The 23,641-nt window shown below is 36.1% G+C and overlaps 1 protein-coding gene and 1 pseudogene across 2 annotated transcripts in view, besides 1 other annotated feature; both read left to right on the top strand.

Annotated features, from left to right (window-relative positions):
- Positions 1-23,641, top strand: part of CEP126 (centrosomal protein 126) — an 86,053-nt gene that overhangs the window by 38,834 nt on the left and 23,578 nt on the right. The window contains exons 5-7 of one of the 2 annotated variants that reach the window (NM_001363543.2): positions 2,419-3,100; positions 4,325-4,523; positions 7,898-10,037. In NM_001363543.2, coding sequence (NP_001350472.1) covers positions 4,416-4,523; positions 7,898-10,037 — 2,248 coding nt within the window. In that variant the 5' untranslated portion in view covers positions 2,419-3,100; positions 4,325-4,415. The remainder of the gene's footprint in view (positions 1-2,418; positions 3,101-4,324; positions 4,524-7,897; positions 10,038-23,641) is intronic. The other variant, NM_020802.4, reaches the window with a different exon arrangement.
- On the top strand, positions 1,949-2,996 carry LOC100418997 (proline rich 21 pseudogene; annotated as a pseudogene).
- Positions 9,930-11,129: an enhancer, noted in NCBI's record as "BRD4-independent group 4 enhancer chr11:101834504-101835703 (GRCh37/hg19 assembly coordinates)". NCBI's record gives its function as "activates an origin of replication core promoter dependent on BRD2, P300/CBP, MED14 and CDK7 cofactors, and independent of BRD4, by STARR-seq in HCT116 cells {active_cell/tissue: HCT116}" and the evidence as "EXISTENCE:reporter gene assay evidence [ECO:0000049][PMID:35650434]".

Here is a 23,641-nt window from a genome sequence, read left to right on the forward strand (position 1 = left end):
CTGAAAAGAGATGACAAACAATTAGAGGGAGTCCCGGGATTTATTTAGACTAATTTTAAAAATTCTAAACCAGTTAATGTAGAAGCAATGTACATTTTCTATACAGGGCTTCTTCACTTTCAGGTTTTTTTTTTCTATCAGTTGTTATACTTTATGTTAATTGAATTATTTTCCTTTTTTGTTTGTTTGTTTGTTTGTTTGTTTTGAGACAGTCTCACTCTGTCTCCAGGCTGGAGTGCAGTGGTGCAATCTCGGCTCACTGCAACCTCCACCTCCCGGGTTCAAGCAATTCTCCTGCCTCAGCCTCCCAAGTAGCTGGGATTACAGGAACGTACCACCACACCCAGCTAATTTTTGTATTTTTAGTAGAGACTGGGTTTCACCATTTTGGCCAGGAGGGTCTCGATTTCTTGACCTCGTGATCCACCCGCCTCGGCCTCCCAAAGTGCTGGGAATACAGGCATGAGCCACCATGCCCAGACAGATATTTTCAATTTTTAAAAACTCTTGTAGAATGAAGAAAAGCATAGGCGTTTTTCTTGTTCAACAGTGTGCAGTTGCTTGAAGTCTTAGAAGAGTTAAACTGTCAGAACAACTTTGCTTTCCCTGCAGCAAACATGTATATATGATTACAGCAAGTCTATGCTAGGATCATTAAATAACACACATCATCTTTGTTTTATAGAAATGATCTTCATTGTGCATTAGAATACCTAGTTAGTTTTCATGTTATTTTAACATACTATTTTGACTTTGACTTCATGATATCTATATCTATCTGTGTGTGTATGTTTATATATACATATATATATCACATAAATTCTATGTATTTGGAAAACAACAAGTGTATACAATGTATAGTGAGAACACTATGATTTACTTATTAAAAAGTTAGACTTCTCTCCACAGATAACCAATAATCTTAAGTAATGTATATGAAAGTGCTTTGTAAAATTTGAAATTCTATATAAATATGAGATATTGGAATATTAAGAATCAGGTGTTAGGTTAATGGACATATTTTTATTTATTGAAAATGTAATTAAGCTGAAACCATTGATAAACTACTATCACATTAAAAATACATTTTCAGTGGAATGTAAACCTAAATGTGTTAAGAAATAAAGTAATGCCAAGAAATAAGGGGCTTACAAAGAAGCAGAGGTATATCAGTAAGATTATTCTAATGTGGAAAATGTTAGTGGTAGATAAAAATAAGATGTTGGCAATCTGATCATGTAAAAGAGAAAAAAAATATATGATAAAGTGCAGGGCATTTAGTGCTTAAGCCCTAAGATAAATCAGAGAATATATTCTCATGAACATAGAAGCTGCTTCAGCAAATAGTGAGATATAAGAATATTAATAAGGGAGTAAAGTTAAAAATATAAGAAGTAATTAGTCTTCTGTCACCATCAAATCCTTATCATAAAGCTAATATGCTTGACCATTCTGGAAGGTGTAAAGTAAAAGGGGATATATTGTCTCCCATATTAAATGGTTAAACTTTAATAAAATGATACTGCTAGATATCTATCTCCAATATCCATGTATCTGTAGTGTGGCAGTTGATCCTGAACTACGTGCTACACTGAGAAATCTGGCCAGAGCTGAGCAGTTATCTATTGACCTCTATTTGCCCTTTGAACTCATGCTTTAAACCAGATTGTCCAGCCCATATTCCTGTATCTGTGTGAGTAAAAGGCTTCTGAGAAGTGAAAATACTCTAAGAGCAAGAAATAAGAAATGGCGAACCTGAATAAGCTATGTACGTTTTTCAGTACATGTGAGAGGACACTGGTTGATCAAAGGATGATCATACATGGACCCTATGGACAAGAAAATAACATGAATCAAAAGCCTAGAGGCAGCCCAATAAACCAAAAAAAATAATCTTAATAAGGCTGTCTCTCTGCCTGCCTGTCCAAATGCTTTTCCACCTGTGCAGATCCATTCCTGCCTGTCCAGCTGTCTCCACACCTGACCCCTACTTACCTGATCAACTGTCTCCTCCACGGGTCCCATTGCGGTCCCACCACTTCCAAATTCTTCCTAGCTACCCAACTGTTTCTCCTGCCCGCCAGCCCCATATACTGCCTATCCATCCATCTGTACCCTCTACTCTTCCAAAGACCTTTGCACCAGTCCCATTACTGCCTTACCCAATTAAATATCATCCTTGTCCTCCAACCCCGGCTACTTCCAGCATTTCTAGCAGTTTCCCTCGTCTACCAGCACCAATTCCTTCTTGCCCACCTGGCCATCCACCCCACGCACCCCAGAGTTCTCCAATCATTCCTGACCCTGAGTCACAGCACAAGTTATTTTACAAAACTTTCAGACCCAAACATTTCCTTCCAGCACAGCATTCTACTGCAGCCACTCTAATGCCTACCCTTGTTCGTCGTTCCCTTCCAGCTCCACTGGTTGTTTCCCCAACCCCTTTGGAACCTCTCCCTGTTTTGAAGCCTTCCTGTTTATCCAGTCACCCCCCTTATCCACCAGTCCCCACTCTTTCTTATGTCACTCCGTTGCCTGCACATCCTGCTAGCTTGGATCCTTTTCAGTCAGTCCAGCAATCTGTTCCACAAGCCACAGCATTGTCAAATCAGCCCGAGGCCTTTGCAGATCATCCACCAGCCTCAGTTCTCTCCCTTGCATCTCCCTGTCATTCTCCATCTTCTTCTTTGCCTTCATCTCCTTCTACTTCCACATCCTTTTCTTCAGCCTGTATACTGTTTTCTTCCTCCTCATCTATTCTTTCCTCTTCTTCGACTTCCTGTTCTACTTCTCCATCCTTACCTCCTTCATCTATCCCTCTTTTTTCCTCTCCTTTGCATTCATCTTCCTCTCCAGGTTTGCCTCCAACTTATTTAGCTTTTCCCTCTCCAGTTTCTCCTGTTTCTTCTTCCTTTATGATTTCCTCTTCCTTTCCCCCTATTCTTCACTCTCCTTCTGTTTCTACCTCCCCATCTCCTTTTATTCCTATCCACCCCTTCAATCCTCCTCATTGGGGGAAGAAAGTAGAGAAGAGAAGAGAAGAAAGTGGAGTAGAGAAGAAAGGAATAGAGAAGAAAGTTGAGACACGACAACTTTAAAGGTAAATAAATTGAGTTTATTAGATATTTTGTAGATATAGCAATATTTTGTTTGGGAAGGGCGACTGAAGGGGAAGGATTATCTAAGAGTAGGAAAGTGTAAAAGGAAGAGACAGAAACATACTCTCAATGTTCAGGAACTTGTATTAAATACCTTCTTGCTCTCCCTGATTAAATGTGTGATCACAAAGGGATAGTTAATCTAGTAATCATTGACCTTGACTACTCCAGTCTGTCCAAATAAAGATATATATATGGATATTGGAGATAGGGAATAGGTATATATCACATGTGGCCACTATCACCTTCCAAAACATTTTTATTCTCATTAAAGTGGGAATAATTTAATTGAATTAGGAATAAATGCTCTTTGGATTCACACTGCCAGCCCCAGTGCAGCAGCATTCAGCTATATGGTAGTCTCATCCCCATCCTATCCTCCCCCAAAACTCTTCTTTAGTTCTTTGCTTTCACTTTGTATATGTGCTGAAATCTAACATGCTATAGATTTGCAGAAGATACAAAATTCTAATAGAAAATGATGTCATGCACTGAAAATGTTTGGATGGCCCTTTAGCATAGTAAAGGTAGACTCTATATTAAGGGTACGCTTCTGTGGCATAAAAACCATGCTTATATTCCTGTTTATATTCCTGAAATAACTGAAAATAAGTGAGTACTTGGCCTCCATTGAGGACGATCCAAGTTCCCAATGCTAGTTAAATAGGGAGGAAATTCCTGCTGACCCTGACAAGCAATTTTTATATTTTCTATCTGCTTGAATCTTCAACCAACACTATTAGGGTTACAGTTTTTTCCTAACCTACTAGCCATGACATCAACTCAGAAAGAAGGGTAATGCAGTATATTATTATCCATATAGGAATGCTCTTAAAGACCTGAGGACTGACTCTACACAGGAATTACTTCTACCCTTATCCCAGATTATAGAGGGATAGGTTATAATAATCAAAGCCATGAATTACTGGGCATTCCTATATGAAGGTGGAGTTCTTTACTGGTACTTTAGTCTCACAACTACTTTTATTCTACTATTGATTGCCTTAAATTCTCATTCTAACATGTCTATATATTTCTCCAATATCCTTATATGTGGTTATCTGGACAAACACACACGTATTACACCTAATGTGTCATGTATATACATATAGAAAGAAGTTAACTTTATTTAAATGTACTAAGCACTTTTTATGTCTGGTTCACAGAGCTATAGATTCTGCCTTGCCTTCCGCATTATCAAAAAATGATCACAAGCATCAGAAACAACTCTTATCCAAAATCAATTGTGAGAAAGAAATGAATGAAAACATGAGGGCAACCTTGGCTACTAGCAAAAATGTGTTCCAGCTTAAACTGGAGGAAACTCAGAAACTCCTCGAAGATCAACATCTAAGCAATTTGCAAGTATGAAACTATAAAAATGTTGTTAATATTTTAATTCCTTGCACTAATTTTGCTCCACTTTTGCAGTGTTCTCCACTAAAGAAATATCTTACTAGCTGAGAGCAGGCCATGAAAGACAGTGTGGATGAATCAGCACAAATTCATCATAGAAACTATAGAAATAATTTTTTAGTTTTTTCCTTACCTTTGAAAGTACAATGTAATGTATTATTGTTAGAGATTGTATTATAAAAAGCAACCAGAAAATTATAATACATGTAGATATTAGTTTCTTAATGGAAATATGGCAGAATTTGCTAGAAATGATGTTTGTAATCTATCCCTAGTAGGGCATATACTTTATTTTTTCCACAACTGAATACAGATATCAGCTGATTTTCCTACATGTCCATCCATGTACTTTATTTTTCATTAATAATTATGCACATTTATGAGATTTTTAATAAACCAATATAAGATTAAATTCATAACATTGGCCTGATTCATCCAACAATTAATCAACAGTGGCAAGGCTAAGAAAGCAAAACAGAAGATTCCTGGCAGCTATCGTGATGTGCCTTCCTACCATAAACAACTATAATTATGAACAAAATAAATAAAACAACTGCTTGTAGACATGGGTCAGAGGCAGTGCAGGATGTGATCTTGAAAAGGGGAAAGAAATGATGTAAGCCTTATAACCTAGGCTTTCTACGTAGTTATGTTGCCTGAATAAGCCTTAAAAAGATCCACTAGTAACCCAAGCTACCTATTAAACAAAAAAACTTAACACTTTTTTCTTTTTTCCTTTTTTTTTCTTTCTTTTTTTTGAGATGGAGTCTCACTCTGTCACCAGGCTGGAGTACAGTGGTGCAATCTCGGCTCACTGCAACCTCCGCCTCCCAGGTTCAAGCAGTTCTCCTGCCTCACCTCCCGAGTAGCTGGGACTACAGGTGCCCGCCACCACGCCCAGCTAATTTTTGTACTTTTAGTAGAGACGAGGTTTTACCATGTTGGCCAGATGGTCTCCATCTCTTGACCCCATGATCCGCCCGCCTCAGCCTCCCAAAATGCTGGGATTACAGGCATGAGCCACCATGCCTGGCCAACACTTTCTTAAAGAAGACTATGAAATCTAAATACTCAATAACATAATGCTCACAATGTCAGCATTCAATCAAAACTTACTAGACATGTGAAGAATCAGGAATATATGACGCATAACCAGGAGAAGAGTAGTCAATATAATCAGACAGAAATAACAGAGATGATGGAATTAACCAACAAGGAATTTTAACGTATTTTTACAAATATTTTCAAGGAATTAAAGTAAAAATGTACATAAGAAAGACAATTGAAAAAAGAAATAAACAGACCTTCTAGTTCTGAAAAACATACTATCAGAAATGAAAAATTGACTGGATGGACTTAACATTGCAGTCATTGCAGAACAAAAGATTAGTGGACTTGAAAACATAGCAATAGAAATTATCCAAGCTGAAGCTTTGGGAGAAAAAGGCTGGAAAAAAATGAACAGTTTGTTAGTGACCTGTGAGACCATATAAAGCCATCAACACATTTAATTAAAAATAAAATTTAAATAAAATTTCACAAAGTAGGAATGGAAATGTTTAAAGAAACCATCGCTGGAAATGTTTCAAATTTGATGAAAATTATAAATCCACAGACTCAAGAAGCCCAACAAACTCCAAGAAGGATAAGTGTATGCACACACACATACCACAGAAAGGCACCTAAAAATCAGATTAAAGCCAGAGGGAAAAAAGATATGTTACATGCAGGGCAATAAAGATAAGACGGACCGCTAAATGTAACTTATAAGCAAAACTTGAAATTGATCATAATGTTTCATTATTTAGTGGTGGGAAAAAATCTGAAGAAAAAAAAAGTATTGTTTATGAAATCAGAAGTTGCCAAACTTCTTCTGAGGTGATTTGGGAGATGAAGCAATTACAGACCTATGCAAATGGAAATCTTAGAGCCATGGATGTCATACTTATATCTAGAAGGATCTTCTAACGCAAATTTCTGTGTCTCACTAGATGTAACCTCAAAGGATGCCTTCCAGGCCTGATTTCATCATCATTATCAGTTAAAACAACTTATTTCCAAGAACAGGCATTGAAGTAGCTATGCTTTGTTTTGTTCCCTGTTTGGGTTGAGTGATTATCACTTTAAGAAGTATGCCAAAGGATGTGATAAATAGGGACTAAATGCTAAAAATATAAAACTCTCATGAATAATTTTTAAAACTTATTCCACAATACTAAATCAATAAGAACTAACTATATAAATTAAAATATTTTTATTCTGTAATTTATTTACTTTATTTCTTAGTTTACTTACTGGGATAGAAAAAGAAAGTACTTTTGTCTAATACCATAGTATGTAAATTTTTAAAATTTACATATTTTAGATAAATCTAAAATGTATGATAAATCTTAAGGGATATCAATTTTCTTTCCATTCAGCATTTTGACTAGATATACAATTTAATGTCTTCTTAAAATTTATTTCTATATATGTGATGTAGATTAATGCATGCTAGGTATGTGTGAGAAAACAGAAATATTTTTAAACATTTACCATACATTGAAGTAATTTTGAAATATTATTAAAGACTGACAAATTTCATGTAAATTTCAGTGAAATAGTGATGTAAATGTCTATGGAATTTATGGAAATTACTACTATGCTAAACCTCCAAAAGGAGTCATTAAAGTCAATAGTTTTTGAGCCTAAACCCATATGAAAATTACCTGGGGAATTTAAATAATACCAGTATATGGACCCCATCCAAGTATTAAATCAGCAGGACCCAGGTATAGATATTTTACACAGTTCTTTATGTGATTTTAACATGTAGCCAGAGTTAACAGCCTTACTACAGTCCACAAAATTAAGTTTTATAAAAAGATGTAGCCCCTACTAACAGGAAACTCACATTAGGATCACAGAGCTTTTAGGAGCCTCATTCAAGTCCAGTGAATGTTTTAGGAAAAAAATACAATTTATAAATAATTATTTTTCAGAATCTCACTTTCTATTACTAAGCCTTCAAGAAACTTCATACTCTAAATGGAATAGCAATAACAAAAATTTTTTTTAAGTTCTAACTGTGGCTAGAATAAGCAGGTATTACTTTAGGAGTTGAAATCAAAGCAAGCATACTATACTATAAGTCTTTGTTACCTCCCAATTTTTTACCTTGAGGATTGCTGCAGGGATAAGAATTATTTATATACCTATGATGTTTATAGTCATACTACTCTATATGCAAGGAGAATTGGGCTCAGTAACAATGGTATGTTGAATCGTTAATCTTGGCATTTAAAAGTTTATAAGCTATAAAACAATGTTCTTTTTTTTTCCAGAAATTTTGTGATGAAGTTAATCAGATAACCAATTCTGAAACCCTCTCAAGTATAGACAGTCTTGAGGCTACAGAGCATGAAGAAATATATTTAACACTTAATAAGGAGCATTCCACATCCATCCAGCGGAATACCATTTCCCTCAAACCAGCAAATATGCAATCAACTAATCTCAGCTGCTTTGATGAAGATAAACTGGCATTCTCTAAAACTCAACATATAAATAATTGGCTTACAAATTTAGATGCTTCAAATACTCAGAATGTCACAGCTTTCTCAGATATTTTAAGTAAATCTAATGTTCTGCCTTCATGGGAATATTTTAATAGTAAAGAACAAAATCCATCTCCTTTGAATGGAACAGTGGAAAGAGCCACAAATACTGCTAATAATTCAGTACCCTTTGTATCTAGCCCACCCATGTTTGTACTAGATAAAAAATGTGAAAAGACCTCTGAAACTAGCACTATGAGGACAACTGACTCCACTTCTGGAGCATTCAAAAGAGAGAGACCATTAGTTACTGAGAGCCCAACATTTAAATTTAGCAAATCCCAAAGCACTTCAGATTCTCTAACCCAGGAAGTGGCTACATTTCCAGACCAAGAGAAATATTCTGAATTAAATCAAGAAAATGGAACTACTTCAATTCCTACTTCATGTGTACCAGTGGCAACGCCTTTAGTTTTGCCATCTAATATACAGTCAGCTAGACCTTCAGCAAAGAACAGTATACACATAAAAGAAATTGATGCAGTGCAGTGTTCTGATAAGTTAGATGAATTGAAAGATGGTAAAGAAGAAGAGATAAAATATTTTAATTGCAATAAGGAAGAGTTGCCTTTATTTTCAGACAGTTTTCAAGATGCCTATATACCTCACAATCCTGATTCAAAAGATGAAAAACAAAAATTAGCTGAAACATCATCCTTGTCTAATGTAACTTCTAATTATGACTTTGTTGGCCAGCATAAGAAAATGAAATACAACATCCATGAGAGAAATGGTGTGAGATTTCTTAAAAGTATTTTAAAGAAAGAATCTAAATATGAACATGGTTATCTTAAGGCATTAATTATAAATCAGAGCTTTAAGTTTGGAAATCAAAAAGCAGCAGCTATCAGAGATAGTATTGAATTAACAAAGGAAAAAGGTGCAGAAATTCCAAAGACCATTAAAAAACTGAGGTGGTTTGATGAAACTAGCAATATAGAAAACAATGCTGAAAACAGTCATTCACTGAAGAATAAAACAGGAACAACTCAACAGCATTCTCAACAATTCCACATTCAAAGTGGTGCTGGAAGCAACATAATTAGTGTTTCTACTTGTGCTGTAAATTCTGCTGATACAAAGAAGTCCAGGGAGGATTCTATCTCTGAAAATGTTACGACTTTAGGAGGATCTGGAGCAGACCATATGCCTTTGAACTGTTTTATACCTTCAGGTTATAACTTTGCTAAACATGCCTGGCCAGCCTCAAAAAAAGAAGAAAGTAAAATCCCTGTACATGATGATTCTAAAACTAAGCAAGGTAAGCCACAAAGAGGTAGAGCAAAAATAATTAGAAAACCAGGATCTGCAAAAGTCCAATCAGGCTTTATATGTACAAACAGAAAAGGCGCTGTCATTCAACCACAGTCTGCAAGCAAAGTCAACATATTTACACAAGCTCAGGGAAAATTAATTATACCTTGTCCTCCTCCTCAATCTACATCAAATATTAGAAGTGGTAAAAATATACAAGTGTCTCAGTGTCAACCAGTAACTCCTGAAAATCCTCAAAACATTATTACACATAACTCTTTTAATTCAAAACATGTGCTTCCAACAGAACACAGTTTGAATCAGTGGAATCAGGAAAGTAGTTCTCCACTCTCAAATGCTTGTTCTGACCTAGTCACTGTGATACCATCACTGCCATCATATTGTTCTTCAGAGTGCCAAACTTTCGCAAAAATAAATCATTCAAATGGCACTCAAGCAGTTGCCCGGCAAGATGCGACATTATATTGCACCCAAAGAAGTCCTGTTTGTGAAGAAAGTTATCCGTCTGTGACTCTAAGAACTGCTGAAGAAGAATCAGTTCCCTTATGGAAAAGAGGTCCTAATGTCCTGCATCAAAATAAGAGGGCTACAGGTAAGAATAAATTTATAGCTTTTTATAGATAAAATGTACACCTTTGTTAAAGTCATGTGAAATTGTTCCTATTTATGTATGGCCATACATACTACATAAATATTAATATTAAACAATAGCTTTATAGAAATAACTTACCTCCAGGCCAAGCACAGTGGCTTACACCTGTAATCCCAGCACTTTGGGAGGCCCAGGCGGGCGGATCACTTGAGGCCAGGAGTTCAAGACCAGCCTGGCTAACATAGCGAAATCCCATCTCTACTAATAGAAAAGTTAGCCCGGCATGGTGGTGCGTGCCTATAGTCCCAGCTACTCGGGAGGCTAAGGAAGAAGAATTGCTTGAACCTGGGAGGTAGAGGTTGCAGTGAGCCGAGATCATGTCACTGCACTCCAGCCTGATGACAGAGCAAGACTCTGTCTGAAAAAAAAAAAGAAAGAAGTAACTTACCTCCTGTAATATTGTGATTTTTGGCCAGGCACGGTGGCTCATGGCTGTAATCCCAGCACTTTGGGAGGCCAAGGCACGCGGATTTACTTGAAGTTGGAAGTTCGAGACCAGCCTGGCCAACGTGACGAAACCCTGTCTCTACAAAAATACAAAAATTAGCCGGGCATGGTGGCGCGTGCCTGTAATCCCTGCTGCCTGGGAGGAGGCAGGAGAATTGCTTGAACCCAGAGCCCAGGAGGAGGAGGTTTCAGTGAGCCAAGGTGGTGCACCACTGCACTCCAGCCTGGGCAACAGAGCCAGACTCTATCTAAAAAAAAAAAACAACAACAACATTGTGACGTTAGTAGCTGAATCCTTTTAAGAGAATGACCCAACCAGTGCTCAACTGAAATTAGAAACTTTTGCCAGCCTCCATTTTTTTCCATGACTTTTCCTGTTAGTTTAAGAGGAAGGACAAGGAATAGGATCTGATTCTTGTCCCATATTATTCTGTCATTACTATTGTAGTCAAATTTTCCAACAAAGTAAGCACAGTGAAAAATATTGTTTAAATTATTATAAACAAGTGAATACATGTAGTTATATTTATTTTTCTTTAAAACTTTTGTTAAATTGAGTTGCTATAAACTAATATTAATTAGATATACCTAATTCTCCCATTCTCTTTCCCAAAGTGTGGTAGCTCTGCTTTTATCTGCTATGACTATTGGTTTTTGTGAGAGCAAAAAAATGATATCATTGTCTTGAAATATTTTTGAAAATTAATTCTCTATAGAATGCCATTGCCCTTACTAGCTGGTCGACTCTCATAAAACTTCTTTCCTTCTATGAAGGAATAAACTAGAAAGCAATATATTTTCCTGCCAATAGGAAACAGTTGCCTATTGAGAAATAGTTAGGACTGGAGTCTGGAGGCAATCAGAAAAACAACTCTTGTTTTTCCAAAGGTATGAATAAATATTGATATATAATGAGAGTTTAAAATTTAATATTCAAAGTCATCTTCAATTAAACCATGAGTTTTTAAGGCCAAGGGACATTTGTGTAATTCATCACAGTATCCCCAGATCCTAACAGTGCCTGGCACTTAGTAATCACCCAGACTCTACTTGAATTGAATGGATAGAAGCCACATTAGCAGAAGGGAAGCTAAATGCAGACACTATAATCTAAAAATCTTCATTACTTGTCTACAAAAATCTAGATTTTAAAAAATTGTTTCTCTCACTAAAATTATGATTTTTTTATCCAGTCATTTCAGAATGTAACTTTAGCTTTCACAACACTTCAAAAAAATGAAGGTATCGTACAGATTAAATATTCTAAAATAAATAATGATAGTTACCCTTTTTGAGTTTGTAGCTTGTACCAGTCACAGTACTGTTTTATACTTACTGTCTCATTTAAACCTTGTAATAATGCTGAGAAATAAATATTTTTAAGACACTGTTTTGCAAAGAAGTAAGCAGAATTATCCAAGGTCAAGAGCTAGTAAATAGCAGAATTGGTATTTTGATCCAGATCTCTATGGTTCCAAGTCCTGTGCTTTTTCTACTAAAATCATATAGTAAATATAGTGATAAAGCAAATATCATATATCACACTCTGCTAATTAGGAAAAATATTAGGAAACTTATAGTTTCCCAATAGCTTATGTACAAAAGGGTAACATATTAAAATTATCTGATTCTCTGATAAAGGAATGGGATACATTTTATCTGGAGAAACCAATATTTTCCTGACATTTAGTCAAAGGAGGTAGTTCTCTCTGGGACATTCGTATAAGGGACATTGGAAAATGTAATGAATTTTAACATTCTTAAATGTTCTTAAATATTCACACTGTTGTAAATATCTATACCTATTAATACAGCGATTATACTTAGAAAATATAACAGTACTAACAATACTGAATATTTTGTATGTTCAGTCATTTAAGCTTTTTTTTCCAAAACTGTTTAAATATAAAATGCTTCAAGTGAACTCTTTGTTAATACTGGATTACAGTTCAGTGAGCATTTGTGGGATTTTTTTTCCTACTCTCTTATTTGCAGTTCATTTTATTTTTATACCCTTATGCATCCAGAGTTGACGATTGTGGAGAGCATCTTGTTCTCAATTAGCATTTCCAGAACACTCTAGCATAACTCTCTAGGAAAAACTCTTCCAATTAGATCCAAGCCATTCGACTATACCACCTCCTGATGTCTCCAGTTATTTCCCCCCTAAAAGATGACTTTGATATTTGGTTCACAGTCTTCATTTCCATACAGAGTCTTTGCCATCATATTGGATAGTTCAGCTTTTATATGGATGAGCAAACATCCTGATCCCTCTCACTCCTTTTTCATCTCTAATAACTTTCTATACAATTCTGCCTCAAATACCCTTTCCCTTTGTTATATTCTGGACCTCATCAACATTCATAACTCCTCTACTTCTTTTCTTTATTTCAGCTTTTATTTTAGATATAGAGGGTACATGTGGATGTTTGTTACATGGGGATATTGCATGATGCTAAGGTTTGGGGTATGGATCCTATTACCCAGGTAGTAAGCAAACTCACTCACTCCTCTACTTAAGCACATTCTCCTCTCTTTTCCCTACTCTTACTCCTACCATTCTTCTACCCTACTGGGCTTCTTTAGTCCAGTATTTTCTCTACTTTCTCATTCCAATTCATCATCTCTTTCTTTCTTTTTTTTTTTTTTTTTTTTTGAGATGGGGTCTCACTTTGTTGACCAGGCTAGGGCGCAGTGGCGTGATCATGGCTCAGTGCAGCCTGGGACTCCTGGACTCAAGCAATGCTCCCATCTCAACCTTTCAGGCACTACAGGCACACACCACCATGCCCAACTAATTTTTTTATATAGAGACAGGGTCTCCCTGTGTTACCCAGGCTGGTCTTGAACTCCTGGGCTCAAGCCATCTTCCCACTCAGTCTCCCAAAGTGCTAGGATTATAGGCATGAGCCACCGTGCCTGGCCAGGTTCATCATTTCAATAGTTCTTTTACCAATATCCTAAACTCTTTGCCTCTTGGTCTTTTTTGTCACAAGAATCAAACAGCCCTTCCCCGCCCAGGGGGAAAAAATTATTTGCTTTTTCTCTGCCTTCTTCTAAGTAGCAGAGAAAATTCATACCAATGTGCCAGGCATATTGGCTATACTGTAGATTTATGAAACATTTTCTGATGATCAACATTACTGAGTATTCCTACTGTTTATCTCGTAAATTCACTGTCTTTCCTTAGAAATAATTATTTCAAACATCCTCCCCAAATATCTGATTTCCCTACTTCCCTTTCCTCATCAGATACTTTCACTGCTCATTTTTCTCAAACCTACATCAATGGGAATAAATATCCAAAATGGGAGGAAAAGTTGTAGTTAGAATACATTAATAAACTTATATAAAAATTTAAAATATGTAAAACAATATTATGGCTAATGGATACATCTGTGGGTAACAAAAGTATAGCAGAAATGGTAATGACAAACATCAAACTCGGAATAGTGACTACCTCTGGGGAGAGAAGAAGGTGAATAGGCTCTAGGAGGGCTACATACAGGGCTGCCACAAATAGTTGCACAACTCCAGATAGCACCATTTATTTTATATAGTATGCAGCAACTTTGACACACAGAGATTTTCAATTATATTTGTACAATATATGTTCTTTACTATGCTAAAAATATTTTTAAATAAAACAATTTAATACACAACAAGGAGGATGCAGTGTCAATGAGTATAAGCCATTCTTTTCAAGTAGTTTAGCCATGAAGGGTAAGAGCTATGACATTAACTTGAATAGACAGAACTATGAGACTTTTTTAGCGGGAGATTAGACTTAGAGCAATGATCTAGTAGGAAGAAAAAGTTTAAAATATGAATGAAATAGAAGAAACCATTTATGGATTTAGTTTTTAAAAGTAACTCCTCTTTTGATATTCTTGATCCAAAATTCTGTTGCCATGAGATCCTGCTCCACCATTTATCTCAACTCTATATATCTTCATGCTTGTTTCCTTTGAGATAAAACTTAAATATATAAGTTAAGTGAAATAAGAGATGCTTGGAGGTGGATGAAGGAAAAAATGAAGGCATTCAGATGGCCCCTATTTTGTCAATAAAATATTAGGAGATTAGATAGAATAAATGAGCAGGATTGGAAGAGTGAGCTTTGTGAAGAGAGGGAGAGATTGGGAGAAAATTGTTGACCAATGATAAATAAAAGGATTGCTCAAAGTTATAAAGCCTGAATGAAATAATATGCCTGGAAACACTTAAACTATATGAGCCCATATCTAGAGGAGCAAATCAGTTCCTCATAGTATAAGTTATGGGCTTTCTCATCTAAAAAGGAACAAAGATTGTTAAGGAATAAGCCCACCAGGGGCTTAGATAAAGGTAAAAACAAACCTTAAGGGAAAAGATGTCAATTGAGAGAAATTTTGTAGGAAAATGACACTAACAGAGAAAGAACTTAGTGTTGTCTGTTACTAATGAATATCAATATATTTTACCCTAGAAATAGGATATGATTCCTAAATATGTAATTGGGTGTGAATGGGAAATTGAAAATAAATTTGAATAATTGATAGGTTTAGTGGACATGTTTTAGGATTTTAGAAGGGGATACCTGGAAAATTTAACACAGATTTTTTAATGTTAATTATTTGACTTATTTTGTTTTATTTTATTTTATTTTAAGACAGGGTCTCACTCTGTCACCCAGGCTGGAGTGCAGTGGCTTTATCATGGCTCACTGCAGCATCATCCTCCTGTGCTCAAGCAATCCTCCCACCTCAGCCCCACAAGCAGCTGGGACTACAGGTGTATGCCACCATGGCTGACTAATTTTTATATTTTTTGCAGAGACAGGGTTTCACCTTGTTTCCCAGGCTGGTCTTGGCCTCCCGAGCTCAAGCGATCTGCCTGCCTCAGTCTCCCAAAGTGCTAGGAATACAGGCATGAGCCACCACACCCAGCCAACAATGATACTTTTTAAATAACATTTAGAAATGTAAATTCATGGGAATAAGTATAATAGAGGATTTGCTTGACTTCTACACAGAAGGCTATAACACTGTTGAGAGAACTTAAAAGAGGCAGGGGTAGGGGTATGGAAAAAAAATTAAAGAAGATCTATGAAATAGCGGAGCAGGGGGAAGATATGCCATGTTCATGGATTGGAAAAGTCTGTATTAAAAAGAAGGCAATTCTCCACAAACTAATCCGTAAATGTAGTATAATCTCTATCAAAGTTCCAATAGGATTTTTGTGAAAATTGAGAAACTGAGTCTAATATTTATATGGAAATGCAAAGGCAAAGAACAAATGCAATAATCTTGAAGGACAAAGTTATAAAACTACTAGATATTATTAAAGCTAAAGTAATTATTACAATATGGCATTTTTACAGGATATTTAGACCAATTAAATAGAGAGTCCAGAAACAGACCTACATATTTAAACACTTGATTTTTGGCAAAGGTGGCACTGTATAGCAGGGACAAAGAGTTCATCTTATAATTCATCAATAGGATATATAGAATTAGTAAAAATGATCCTTATCTTACCACATACACAAATATTAATTCCAGATGAACTGCAGGTCTAAATGTGGAAAGTAAATTTTGGAAGCTAATATAGGTAATACATTTATAATTTAGGATGGACAGCAATTTCTTACACAATACTTTAAAAGAACAAACCACTAAGGAGAAGATTGATCAATTGTAGATTAAAATTAGAGACTATTTTCATCCAAAAAACCATTACCAGATTGAAAAGGCAAATCACAGAGTGGGAGAATATTTGCAATGCATATTACTGACAAAGGGCTTATATCCAGAAGATATAAAGAACCCAAAATGTTCTTCAATAGTGTAATATATAGAGTTGAATTCCATTGTTCATTTAATGAAATACTATAATATAAATGAGCTATTGCTGAAAAGCAGCAGTGTGGGTATACCTCACACCATAATATTGTGCAAAAGAAACATATTGCACAATAAAAATGCATTTTCTGCTCCATTTATATCAAGAACAGGTGAAACTATGGCAGGTGGGTATATGGAAACAGGTAATGAGGGGAGCATTTTTGGTGCTAGTAATATTCAGTTTCTTGACATGAGTGGCTGTGAAATCTGGGTTTGGGTATATAATCTGTTTATTCTCAATTCATGCACTTTTCTATACATAGATTCTACTTCCTTTTTTTTTTTAAGCCAAATGATGTTGACACATTATTTAAATCTGATTTCAAAAAGAATATTTTTTTCTTTTCCAATAATTATTAAGAATATCTTCACAGAATCAAAAATTTGATTACTAGAAAGGACCAATGTGACAATTTCTTTTAAACTGTCCCATTTTATAAATGAGGAAATATCCTAGGCAAAAATTAGGTAACATTTATTATGTTCCAATCACTATTTAAGCACTTTAAATATTGAAACAAAGTTAATTCTCACAATAAATCTGTGAGGTAAATAATATTCTTACGCCCATTTTATAGATGAGGAAACTGGGTCACAGAGGATAATTGACTGTATAAATTGCATAGCTAGTGTAAGTGGCATACTCAAAATTAAGGCATTATGATTCTATGTTCTTAACTATTGAGCTACTTTGTTTCTTCATTTTATTTTTTTTCTGAGACAAGGGTCTCACTCTGTCACCCGGGCTGGAGTGTGATGGCACAATCTTGGTGCAACAGCCTCCCAGGCTCAAGCGATCCTCCCATCTCAGCCCCCTCAGTAGCTGAGACCACAGGTGCGCACCACCATGCCTGGCTAATTTTTTGTATTTTTGGTAGAGATGAAGTCTCACCATGTTGCCCAGGCTGGTCTCAAACTCCTGAGCTCAGGCTCAGGTGCTCCGCCTCCCTAGGCCTCCCAAGTACTGGGATTGTAGGCGTGAGCCACCGTGCCCAGCCTTACTTTGTTTTTTTAAAACTCTGAATAACAACAGATTTTTCATAATACACATGAAAAAAAAAATAGTACATTGATCTATACAGTTTGTGGATGGCACAGAGTATCAAAGGAAGTTACTAATGAAATCGAGGCTGGAAGCAAGCTTCAGAATCATCCTGGCTAACTGAACTGGCAAATCAAAACCAGTTAAGTTCAGTTTAGCAGAGATAGCTATAAAGTCATACATTTATTTGCATTCAGTTTACTGTTTAAGGTTTGGGCGGGGGGAGGTGTTGCGTTGTTTTTGTTTGTTTGTTTTTTTAGGTGGGGACTCACTGCGTTGCCCAGGCTGAACTTGAATTCCTGGGCTGAGAGCTCCTCCTGCCTCAGCCTCCCAAGAAGCTGCGGTTACAGTTGTGAGCCATGGTGCCTGGCATACTTTTTAAAGTTTTAATTGTGAAATATATCTGACATAGAAAAGAATGTATGTGACATATAAGAACAAGTTAAGACTGATAATAAGAGAACCCTGTACCCACTGCTCACTTTTAGAAATAGAAAATCACCAATAGCGGCCAGGTGCCGTGGCTCACGCCTGTAATTCCAGCACTTTGGGATGCCAAAGCAAGCGGATCACTTGAGCCCAGGAGTTTGAGACCAGCCTGGCCAACATGGTGAAACCCCGTCTCTACTAAAAATTTAAAAATTAGCTGGGCGTGGTGGTGGGCGCCTGTAATCCCAGCTACTTGGGAGGCTGAGGCAGGAGAATCGCTTCAATCACAAGGCGGAGGTTGCAGTGAGCCAAGAACATGCCACTGCACTCCAGCCTGGGCAATAGAGCAAGACCCAGTCTCCAAAAAAAATGAAATAAAATAAGAAAGAAAAGAAAAATTGCCGGGCGTGGTGGGTCACGCCTGTAATCCCAGCACTTTGAGGGCCGAGGCGGGCGGATCACGAGGTCAGGAGATCGAGACCATCCTGGCTAACACTGTGAAACTCTGTCTCTATTAAAAATACAAAAAATTAGCCGGGCGTGGTAGAGGGCGCCTGTAGTCCCAGCTACTCGAGAGGTTGAGGCAGGAGAATGGTGTGATCCTGGGAGGCGGAGCTTGTAGTGAGCCGAGATCGCGCCACTGCACTGCAGCCTGGGGGACAGAGCGAGACTCCGTCTCAAAAAAAACAATACCTACAGAGCCCCATATGCTTCTTCCCAATTGCATCCCCTTCCTCCGTTACAGACATGAACACCATGAAGAATTTCATGTTAAGCCCAGCGTGGTGGCTCACACCTGTAATGCCAGCACTTTGGGAGGCTGAGGCAGGCGGATCACAAGGTCAGGAGTTCGAGACCAGCCTGGCCAACATAGTGAAACCCTGTCTCTACTAAAAATACAAAAATTAGCCGGGTGTGCTGGCGCGCACCTGTAGTCCCAGCTACTCTGGAAGCTGAGGAGGGAGAATCACCTGAACCTGGGAAGTGGAGGTTATAGTGAGCCGAGATTGCGCCATTGCACTCCAGCCTGGGCGACAGAGTGAGACTCCATCTAAAAAAAAAGAATTTCATGTTAATTATTCCATGATTTTCTTTATAATTTTGCCACGTATGAATGTATTGCAAACGATATGTCATTTTGTCCACTTATGAAACTTCTATAAATGGAATTATTTTATCTGTGTTCTTCTGGGATTTGCCTTTTCCAATCAACTTTGTTTTTTAGATTGATTAGGTTGGCTGTACTTCATATTCATTGCTGCAATCACATTCAATTATATGAATGTTCAAACAATGTTTTCATTCTCCTATCACTGGACATTTGGGTTGCTTCTAGTTTCCTCCTTTTATGAATAATTCTTCCAAGAACAGCTTTGGACATCTACTGATGCACATGTTGCTGAGCCATATGGGATGTGTATTTTCAACTTTACTAGGTAATCCAAAATGTTTTCCAGAGTAATATATGAAATTTCCCTTTACTACATCTTCACTAAAAGTCTGATAAACTTTTTAATGTTTTTCAGTCATACAGTATAAAATGGTTTCTAATTATGTGGTACATATACACCATGGAATACTATGCAGCCATAAAAAGGAACGAGATCATGTCCTTTGCAAGGACATGGATGAAGCTTGAAGCCATTATCCTCAGCAAACTAACACAGGAACAGAAAATCAAACACCGCATGTTCTCACTTATAAATGGGAACTGAACAATGAGAACACGTGGACACAGGGAGGGGAATAACACACACTAGAGTCTTGGAGTGGGGAGGGGAGAGCATCAGGACAAATAGCTAATGCATCCGGGGCTTAATACCTAGGTGATGGGTTGATAGGTGCAGCAAACCACCATGGCACACATCTATCTGTGTAACAAACCTACACATCCTGTACATGTATCCTAAAACTTAAAATTTTTTTTAAAAAGCAATAAATTAGGTTTTAATAAAAAGGCATAGAAAAACTTTAGCCCTATTTGTCTGGAAACTGAATATAATAAAAATGCAAATGTATTCCTTGAAAAGTTTCTAATTATGATAACTTATATTGTCCTCATTACTAATTAGTTGAACATTTTATATGTTTATGCATCATTTGCATTCTCCTGTGAAATGTCTGCTCTTGTCATTGCCTATTTTTCTATTTTTTTAAATTTCTTATTGATGGAAGTTTTTTACATATTGTATATACAGATCCAATATAGATTATATGTGTTATAATTATTTTCTGCCAATTTGTGATTGGTATTTTTACTCTTTCTAATGACTAAAAGTTTTTCTCAATGTGGTCAGTTCCTTTATGGTTGCTGGTATGTATTTAGTCTTTTTTAAATCAGTTTTACACTTCTAAGAAGGCAGATACCTGTTTTGATAACTCTTCTTTGTTAAACACACACACACACACAAAGCAAAAAAGGTTTACCATAGCTGTTACAAGGTCACTATAATTTTGGACAATAATTTTAGGCAGTAACAAGCAGATCTTTAGAAGTACTGCTATACTCTGTGTCATTTTATAATATATATTTTAAGGAATTATAAACAAACTGGGATTCCCCGGGGCTATGAGAGGAGAGGTTCAGTCTAAAAGTCAGTTAAAGAAACACAAGCCTAAGAGATATGATAGCTATGTACAAATATTTGAAGGCTTATGACAAAGAAGAAGGAGTAAACAGAACTGAAATGAAAGGGTAAAAATTGCAGAGAGGTTTTCAGCTCAGCATAAGGAAGGATTTGAGCTATCCAGCAAAGGAAGAGGATGCCCCCATGAGGTAGTGGCTCCTAAGATTTTTTCCAAAACTATAATTTTGAGAATGTCTCCGGTATTTTTTCATGTGTTTATGATTAAGAATACTACAGATTTTTTTAAATATAATGCTTTATTGAAGATTAGTAGCTTTATTTTGAGTTTGGTAGTGAAACTATCCTATCTAGAATTTTCATATGAAACTAGGAATTTGGCCAGAGATACCAGTGCAAGCTACATTATTTTTGCAAAAATAGCAAGGTTCTCAGCTTTTGTATTAATTGTTAGGTAATATTTAAGCACATGTATGTGAATAGAAAAATACATAAACAGTTTTAAGTATATACTGTGTCTTTAACTGCGATCAATAATCTACAATCCACAAAACTACAAAGAACAATAAAGCACAAAGATAAATAATGCAATCAAGAAGTACAAAAGTGACTTCAGAAAATTGATGAGCAAACTGAGGGATGAGATAAAACCCTGACACAGCAGTTAAGTGAACAAGGAAATTTTTATGCAAGGTGTTTAAAGCTTTTTAGATAAAGATGAGGACTTCTCAAGATTTAGAGGAAGAAAATTCCAAGAATAGAAAACAACATAGAAACTGTATTGCTGCCAAAATTATCTTGGTGGAAACTATAACATTTTGCATATATAGCATTTAGCATATTGATACAGGTGGAAATAAGCATAATACAGTGCTTTTTAAACTGTGGGACATGACTCGTTCGTCAATTGTGAAATCAACGACTGGTAACCAGTATTTTTTAAATGAAGTCTAATTTTAGAATTAGAATATTCTAGAATGGAAACTACCAGACGGTATCATACGTTGTGAGGATAAATATATTTTATAAAACTACATATGTCTCCAAGGTCACAATGCAAAATATATTTATTTCTGTGAGACACAATCAATCAGAATGAAAATTACTAGCATATGTGTAAGAGCTAGAAGTTTAGATTTTAGAGCCCAACTAATTGGAGCTGAATCCCAGCTTTGCCCCTTACTGGCTCTGTGACCTTGGGCAAGTTACTTATCCTCCCTCCTGCCTTAATTTCTTTTTTGTTGTTGTTTCTTTTCTTAACTTTTATTTTCGGTTCAGAAGTATATGTGCATGTTTGTTATATAGGTAAATTGCATGTCACTAGGTTTTGGTGTACAGATTATTTTGTCTCCCAGGAAGTAAGCATAGTACCTGGTAGGTAGTTTTCCAGTCCTCACTGTCCTCCCACCCTGCACCCTGAAATAGGCCCCAGTGTCTGTTGTTCCCTTCTTTATGACCATATGTACTCAAAGTTTAGCTCCCACTTATAAGTGAGAACATGCAGTATTTGGTTTCCTTATGTTCTTGTGTTAGTCTGCTTAGAATAATGGCCTCCAGCTCCATTCATGTTGCTGCAAAGGACATGATCTTTTTTATGGCTGCATAGTACTCCATGTTGTATACGTACCACATTTTTATCCAATCTACCATTGATGGACATTTAGGTTGATTCCATGTCTTTGCTGTTGTGAGTAGTACTGCAATAAGCATACACATGCACGTGTCTTTATGGTAAAACAATTTACATTTCTTCAGGTATATGCCCAATAATGGGATTTCTGGGTTGATGGGTACTTCTGTTTTAAGTTCTTTGAGAAATCGCCAAACTGCTTTCTACAATGGCTGAACTAATTTAGATTCCCACCAGCAGCATTTAAGTATTCCCTTTTCTTTACAACCTCACCAGCATGTTAATTTTTGGCTTTTTAGTAATAGCCATTCGGGCTGGTGTGAAATGGTATCTCATTGTGGTTTTGATTTGCACTTGTCTAATGATTAGTGATGTTGAGTATTTTTTCATCTTAATTTCTTTATATGTAAAAATAGTGATGATAATAGTGCCTATGGCCCTTAGAACAATACCTGCCAAATTATAAATGCTAATTAAATATTAGCTGGTATTATGTTATTATTTCATACTCTCAAATGTCAGGTATGCAGTTACTGGCTAGCTTTCTTGAAAGGTAAAGGCTTTTTTGTAAGGTTCTTATCATAAAGCGCATGCACACATTTCCATTATTTCTCAAGACATTTAAGTGCTTATACACATATGCATATCGATGCCCCAGACCAATTGAATTTTCACCCTTGGTCCCAAGAAACTTAAATATGCATCATCATTACTTTACATCTTTGTACATAATGTTCTTTCTGACTCAAAGTGCCCTTTTATTTGGTAACCTACTACTACCTTTTTTGTTTTTTAAGCAGGCTCAGAAGGTTAACTACTCTTTTAAGACCAAGGTCAGACAAACTTTGTGAAACTTTTCTTGATTCTTGCAAAGTCACTGTACCCTCTGTGCTTTCACTTAATTCCACTTATAGCTATACATACAAGTTAAGCATTTTACTATAATAATTCATTTATATTCATTCTTCTAGACAAATGGATTCCAAGACTTTTTATTGTACTACTATTAATAAAAATTTTGAACACATACATGGCATACACATGTATTACTGTACTAATATATACATTAAGAACCTTAATCGGAAATTTTTTAAAGATAAGCTAAAGTAAAATTTTAAATTTGTATATCACTAGCTAATATCTCACAGCACAATATACATTTAGTGTAAAAGTTATAGTTATAATTTTTTGATAATTTTTGAATTTGTGATACCAAGTTTGTTACAGGTATAATTATGTCATTGTCATTATGTGGCAAAGAGTTTGTAATTGAGAAAAAGAAATGGGTTGGCCTTGCTGTTGTTTACCTATCCTTGCATTATTAGTATTATTTTGATCTGTGATTTTGCAAGAATATGTTTTTAAGTAGTCATTAAAAAGCAAAGAAAAGGCCGGGTGCAGTGGCTCACACCTGTAATCCCAGCACTTTGGGAGGACGAGGCGGGCAGATCACAAGGTCAAGAGATCGAAACCATCCTGGCCAACATGGTGAAACCCCGTCTCTACTAAAAATACAAAAATTA

The sequence above is a fragment of the Homo sapiens genome, chromosome 11 (assembly GCF_000001405.40).
Source record: "Homo sapiens chromosome 11, GRCh38.p14 Primary Assembly".
Classification (NCBI taxonomy): Eukaryota; Metazoa; Chordata; class Mammalia; order Primates; family Hominidae; genus Homo; species Homo sapiens.